The sequence below is a fragment of the Homo sapiens genome, chromosome 18, assembly GCF_000001405.40.
Source record: "Homo sapiens chromosome 18, GRCh38.p14 Primary Assembly".
Classification (NCBI taxonomy): domain Eukaryota; kingdom Metazoa; phylum Chordata; class Mammalia; order Primates; family Hominidae; genus Homo; species Homo sapiens.
The window spans coordinates 28,348,791-28,356,169 of NC_000018.10; the positions used below are offsets into that span (position 1 = coordinate 28,348,791).

At 35.0% G+C, this 7,379-nt stretch overlaps 1 annotated feature.

The window, feature by feature from the left end:
• Window positions 2,175-2,676: an enhancer, noted in NCBI's record as "NANOG hESC enhancer chr18:25930929-25931430 (GRCh37/hg19 assembly coordinates)". NCBI's record gives its function as "activates a minimal SCP1, AML or CMV promoter by ChIP-STARR-seq in primed H9 embryonic stem cells {active_cell/tissue: H9 hESC(primed)}" and the evidence as "EXISTENCE:reporter gene assay evidence [ECO:0000049][PMID:30033119]".

Genomic DNA, 7,379 nt, shown 5'->3' on the forward strand with positions numbered 1-7,379 from the left:
TGGTTGCATTAATAGAGATTCTGTACAGATGCAAATTTTCCACACAATAGATGGCTTTGCAGGGCCATTTCAATCTGCTGGACCTATGGGAGCTACTTCAAAATATGTCAAAGAAATACATTTTGAGGTGAAATATTTTGATTTCCTTTAGAGTCTGCTATCTGTCATGTAATACTCTATCACATGGAAAGAGGTTGGAAAGTAGCCTCATTATAGGTTGGAAAGTAAACCACATTATACCAGGTTAATGAAAATCCATCTAAGGAGATTTTGTTGTTTGCAGGACATGACTTAACCCTGCCTTCCAAAGCCCTAGATCTTGTTTACAATTTGGCATCTATTGCCACAAAAAGTCTGTTTTGCCAGTCTTACTGAAGCGGCCTTGTTGTCTGGGGTGACACCCGAGATTTGTTGTCTCACAGCCATGGAGATCAAGGATGCAGACACACAAAGAATGATGTTAAGAGTGGAAATTTAACAGACAAAACAGAGAGAATATCTCTCTGCTACAGAGAGGGGTCCTGGAAAAATGGGTTGCCTAAGCACGGCAAAATGCTGGGGGTTTTATAGATGCGCTAGTCAGGAGGCAGTGTCTTATTTACATACGGCACGAAAAACCTGTTAGGACTAGGTGTGCCATCTGCATAGGGCACAAATCTCTGAGAGCCCCCACCCCGATCTTTTATTACGCAGGTGGGTTCTCTGCCTCAACTTCTCTATGTTATCCAGTTCTTTCTTACTGCATATGTGCTAATGGAAAAGGGAAGGTGGGACCCCATGGTGGACACACCTGGTCCCCAGGTAGCCCTTTTCTATTGGTGCAGCTGCCAGCATCCCCCCATGCAAGCTTCCAGCTTTCTTATCTATGTTTGCAGCTCAATCTTTCAGGCTGTTCTTTGTTAGAAAAGAAGTGATCTCTAGGGCTGCCTTTTGTTAGAAGGGAAGTTCTGCTGAGGGCTCTTTTGCACTCATTATCTGCCTAAATAATTTCTTTCTATCTCCTGTATCATTATGATATCCATTTTACCTAAGCTCCGAAAGGCAGGGGGTATAATGAGGTGTGTCCAACATCTCATCCCATCATGGGTGGGAATTCAGTATTTTGGGTTTCTCTGAGGTCCCCTTGGCCAAGAGGGATCTCTTCAGTTGGTTGGAGGAGCTTAGGAATTTTTTGTCAGTTTACACACTTGAAGGAGACATGTAGAATTTGAGAATAGATATGCAAGAAGGCGATTGTCACCAGGTAGAGGGTGAATGACAGCAAGTTTTGACAGACTTTTTTTTTTCAGAAACACAAACATTATTTCTTGAGGTATTTGATGACAACCTTAGGATGCTGGGTCTGGCATGTAGTTTAGGATCTTTTCTATTAATAGAAACAGCAAAAGAGAACATTGAAAGGCAAAGATTTTCCACTATTCAGAATTATTTCTCTATATTTCTTAGGCTTCTAGATAACTAAAAATACAACACATCAACTAATTATCCAACTTCAGATCCAATAAGAGAAAACTAATGCTATTCAATTAGAGAGAGAGAGCTTCCGAAATCACTTAGATACCTGTATGATGGGAATAGATGTCTGTATGAATTTATCATTATTCTGTAAAATGGAAAAAACGACACTCTAGGGCATATGAAGAGCTTTGGTTAAAAAAAGGGATGGATAAAAAAGTGCTAAGAGTCCAAGGAAGTGAAACTGCCTTTGCAGAAATTATAACTGAGGTAATTATAATACTGAAAGAGATCAGATCTAACCACCTCCATTTTGCTTCAACCTCTAAGCTGTCCTTGTTCATTCCTGGGTGATGGCTAATCTAACCTTGGGAAGGAATTTAGTTTATAGTCTAACTTTGAGACAAAAATGATAATATCCCTTTCTTGGAAACAAACAAACAAACAAACAAACAGACAAAAAACGCTTTTTGCCTGCCGACCAGTCTGCCTTTTTAGGACTAACAAATTAGCTACAAGATTAGAAATTATGGTTTAGGGGCCATGCAGCCTGCAGCTGTAAGAGTCTGAACCTCCCCAGATTACTCCTGTGAATAACACCACTGTTGTAAAACCTAAGATCAGTGCTTGAGATATTTTGCAGACCCTGCATTCTGATGTACCAGCTGACAGCACCCAGACCAGTAATCTCGTTCAACCAGTTCTGCAATCCCACTCAGGAACGGAAGACAGCAAGAAAAACACTTTGAGCCCCCTATGATTCCATCTCCAGCCCCACCAATCAGCACGCCCTACTTCCCCTGTCGCTGCCCGCCAAATTATCCTTAAACACTCCCATCCCAGAGTTTTTGAGGAGGCTGATTTGAATAATAATAAAACTCTGGTCTCCTTCACAGCCGGCCCTGCATGAATTACTCTTTCTCTATTGCAATCCCCTGTCTTGATAAATAGGCGCTGTCTAGGCAGTGGGCAAGGTGAACTTGTTGGGCGGTTACAAAAGTGCATATTCTTGAAGGAAATCAAAATACTTTACCTCCAAATGCATCTCTTTGAGGTATTTTGAAATGGCTGCTGCAGCACGAGCAGGCTGAAATGGTCTTGCAAAGCTATCTTTTGTGGAGGAAATTTGTCTCTCTACAGAATCTCCATTAATGAAGCCAGGCCTTCCATTTCTAGGCTTTTCTTGGATCCAGGTGAGATTAACTCAGCCTGACACCTTTAAAGGTCAGAAAAGAGACATTTGCCATCTATTCTCTCTGAGGAATGCTACTTTCGAGATTTCCTCTATATAACAAGACCTGCTTTCCTAGACAAGCTTCTTCCTTTCTCTCTCTCACAACCTATCTTGCCAGTAAAACCCGATTTATCACCATAACCTGTTTTTGGCTATGGTCTGCACCCTCATTCTTTATCTAACCTCAGGATGGTGTATAAGCTTTTGTACCTTACTGAGGGGTTGGGCCTTCATTCCGAAGACCCTCGGGTATACATGTTAAATAAATTCCTATGCCTTTTCCCCTGTTAATCAATCTGCCTCATGTCAGTGATTTTCAGCGAACCTCTAGAGGGCCAAGGGCCTTGGCCTCCACATTCTCTTGTTGCTTTATTCAGTATAAAAGTATGGATCCAATCAAATTTTATAAAATAAGATATACTTGACAATGTAGAGAATAGACGCCATGAGATGACTGAGATGAAAACATGCATGGAACAACAGATATAGAGTAATATAAATGTGGTAAATAAAAATGTTATAAAATGTATTAAAAACTGGGGAACATTTTTCTAGTAGTCGAAGACAGAGTGAAGAACAGAACTGAAACTGCAGACAATCAAGAATTATATGAAAGTTCAGCTTAGGAAGCTGCCTAGGATTCAGTGAAAAACAAAAATGAGGTAAAAAGAACTAATGGAAATCAGATTAATATAAAAGACAAATAATAGAGACCCAAATATGAAAGATTTTTTTTCTGAAGAAGAGTAAGGATAATTACCTAAAAAAAAATATGCAAACGTATTAAGATAGAAAACGTTTCAAATTAAGTAATACACTTACTTTGTATATTCAAATGGCTCATGAGTTGTAATTAAAAGGAACTGTATATAGATACAATCTGATGGATGTTCAAAAATGACAAAGAAACATACCATCATCTACAGTGAAGAAAATGACTAAATACGATGAGAGAAAAACCATCTGGGTTTCATACTTTTTCACAATGATAAAGAAGAGAAAATAATAGAGAAACATCTATTGAGGACTTTACGACATTGTGACAATGTGAGAAGGCAGAGAAAATAAAAATATTGTATGGTAAATGCCCAGTGGTCTTTGCAGCCCCAGGTGCAACTCTAGGGCTTCACCTGCCAGGTGTTTTCTCAGCCACCCTCAGCTGAGGTGCTTCCTACCTTTTCATCATAGCTGCAGCCCATTCTTGGCCCACAAGGTTGAAAGCTCTGACAGAAGGGGTTTTAAGGAAAAAGGCTGTGATTTTAACATCCTGAACCCGAGTCAAGTTCCTGTTCACATGGGAAATTGTAAAGGAAAAGACTGAAAAGCCGTCATTTGTTCTAGTCTGAAAACAAACAACTATCAAACACTTTAAGGTCATATTTAAGTTTACTTTGGTATAAGAAAATAAACATTTCAACAAAGAATTTTTAAATGGTGCTACGAAAAATGCCTGATGGTAAAAGGCTAAATCATTACAACAAAATTATAAAAATCAAGTGTTTTAAAAATAATTAAGGATTAAATACAGGTTGTAACAACACCAACATAAAAGAAACAGTGAAGAGTAGAAGTGAAATAAAGAGTAGAAGTGAAATAAAGTGTGATAATTTTCTCGTTCCACATACAAGAGGTCAGGATATGCTCTGAAATTACTGATATAACTGTGGACACAGGTTCAGTATTTTAAAATAAAAAAATTAACACAAAATGAAAACAGAATATTTACTTTTAAAATCACAAAAGAAAAATTAAACATAATGTAAAAGAAATACACTAAGTATAGAAAGCATAAAACTAGAAGACCAAATATAAAAATAAATTGAATGCTTTGAAATGTTCTATTTATATGGAACTCTCAGGCTGTGTGCAAATACTAAAACAGATGTAATTGGTAGGATAATTTTGCTATTTAACAGCTGAAAATCTATTCAGAAGAAAGAGTAAACTTTAAATTCGTTATATACATTAAATACATTTTAATACATGAGTTAGAAAATAAGAAAAACTGAAAGAAGGAGAAATAAATACGTGAATTAAGATACCAAGAAGATTACAGAGTCAAAGAAGATAAATACAATGAAGGAATTAATAAAAATAAAAGTAGAAATTAATAAAGAAGACTTAAACCATAAAAATGAAAGCTGGTTCTTGGAAATGACCAATAAAATAGATTCAACTTTGGCAAGCCTATTCTAGTTCACTATAGAATACGACAACTAAAAATGAGAAATTAGGAGAGGTTTTTATCAATATTGAAGAGATTAAAATGTTATATAAAAATAATGGATATATTATTTGACAATAAATAGAAAAATCCAGATAAGATGGGCATTTTTCTAGGAAACCCCATATAAGAAATTAAAGATATAATGTGTAAATAAACAAGAAAAATACAAGAAGAGATAATGCAATCATTTTTTAAAATAACAAGGGCAAATTATCTTTATTAGAAAAATGCAAATCCCAAAAGCTTTAAAAAAAGAACTGACAAATTTGACTTTGTAAAAATTTAAAACTTCTATCCAAAAAAGAAGATATTACTAAATTTAAAAATAAGGAATAGGAGAAAATGACGGCAACATGTCCACAGCAACTGGATAAACATGTATAAATTATAAAGAGCTACTATCAATCAGGAGGAAAAAGACACACAAATAGAAAAATAGTCAATGGATATGTACAGGCAAATTACTATTGAAGACATACACATGGCTGATAAACATATGAAAATAATTACTCTCATAAATGCAGACTAAAATTATAAAGACATTTTTCTTCCATTAAGATTCACTAAATTTGAAGTAATTAGTTACTAATATTGGTCAGGGTATGAGCAAATACTGTTGGTAGGATATGAATTGGTAAAGACTGAAAGCAGAAAGCAATTTTAGATGATTTTAGATGGATTTTTGATGGATTTTTGTTGTGTATACACACAAATATCCGTGTGTGTGTGTATATATATATACACATATGTATATCCATGTATATGTGATTATATGCATGTGTATAGATATGTCATACATAACATGTATTTATACATGTATGTATTTTGCATATATATGACTTCATGGAAAGTAGACTAGAAGGATGCACTTTGTGATCTCCTTTGATAGCGAATGATGGTGGAAGTGGTGGTAAATGAAGCTTTCATGCTATGCTTGATGTTCTTAGATGTTCTTCTATTTTCTTGTGATGTGTTGTATTTTTAACAGAGAGAAAATGTAATGTATTACTTATTTAAATGAAAATGTACCAGCTTTTAAAATAATAAGTGGAGAAGATTTGTATTCTAACAGCACAGAAAATCATGTCAGGGGTATCCTTATGGATATTTTCGTTATGAGGCAGATAAGTGTGGAATATTCTATGTTGATGAAGCCAAATTGATTGGCACAATAACAGAAATTTTAGGGCCATCTCATGATGACTTGAGAGAGTCTTAAGTGCTGTGGAGCATTTTCCAAAGTCATTTAACTGCTTTGTAAATTTAATTTTAAATTACTACCTATTATAAGATGTTAGTTTCCCATTATTGATTTTTTTTGAGTTTCTTACTATTTGCCTTTTAAAATACTCAGTAACAAATAATGTTTTTGTGTATACATTTGTTGTAATATCTAGTTATTTTTTATGATAGAGTACTATGGCCTATAAATGTTTTTATACCTCTTGGTATTTATTGCCAAATAGCTTCCTGGTAAGATTATCACAATTTTCCATCTCATCAACAGTGTAAAACAGTGCCTATTTCACCCCCAATTATGAGAAAAGAAACAGCAGCAACATTAAACGTTTAATGTGCTATATCCTGTATATATATTTTTTATTTTTAATGTTTCTTTGAATTTGAGCATTTTCTCTTTATTTCAAGATATTTGTTTCTATTTTAGAATACTTTATACATTGGCCCATTGATTCTTTTGCATTTTTCTTAATTTGTAACTTTACATATGTGTTGCAAATGTTTCTTATAGTATATTACATTGTTATAATTTTGTTTATGCTTTCTATTTTTATCATATAAATTTAAAAATTCAAAATATTTAACTGTCTCTGAAATCTCCATACAGCCATTATCCAGATTCACACTGATCAAATTTTACCATATTTGCTTCATCTAGCCTCTGTATTTCATTTTTCCTTGTTGAAGTTTTAAAAAGAATGTCCTGAACATAGTGTCATATTATCCCTACACATTCAATACATCTCCCCCAAAATAGGAGCCTGTTCTTACATAATCTTAATACTATTAGCTCACTTAATAAATTTAACATTATTTCTTTGGGGCATGGTTATTCCTGGTTTGCCTTTCTATGTTTGTCCTCAGCCCGTCTCCACTGTGCTCTGAGTGATGGAAGACTCTGCTCTAAACTGCATCACTGAACTCCCCTTTCCTTTGGCTCCCATTTGTGGAGGAGAATAAGTTTGGGGGGGCAGGAGAGTAGGTTCAGAAGTTTATTTCCTGGTCGCTTTTCTGCTGGGCTGCCTGGCTGTGCTTTTCTAACTAAGATGATGGCTTTTTCAGGGTAGATTTGTGATTCAGTCATGGGTCTTCCTAGATTGTGGTATCCACTCTTTCCCTGCTCTCTTTTAGGCCTAATGGTAATAATAACTGTTGATTTAATCTGTTATCTGGATTATAACCAAATTATCTTAATTGTCGCAAAAATATGTTTTGGTTTCTTTA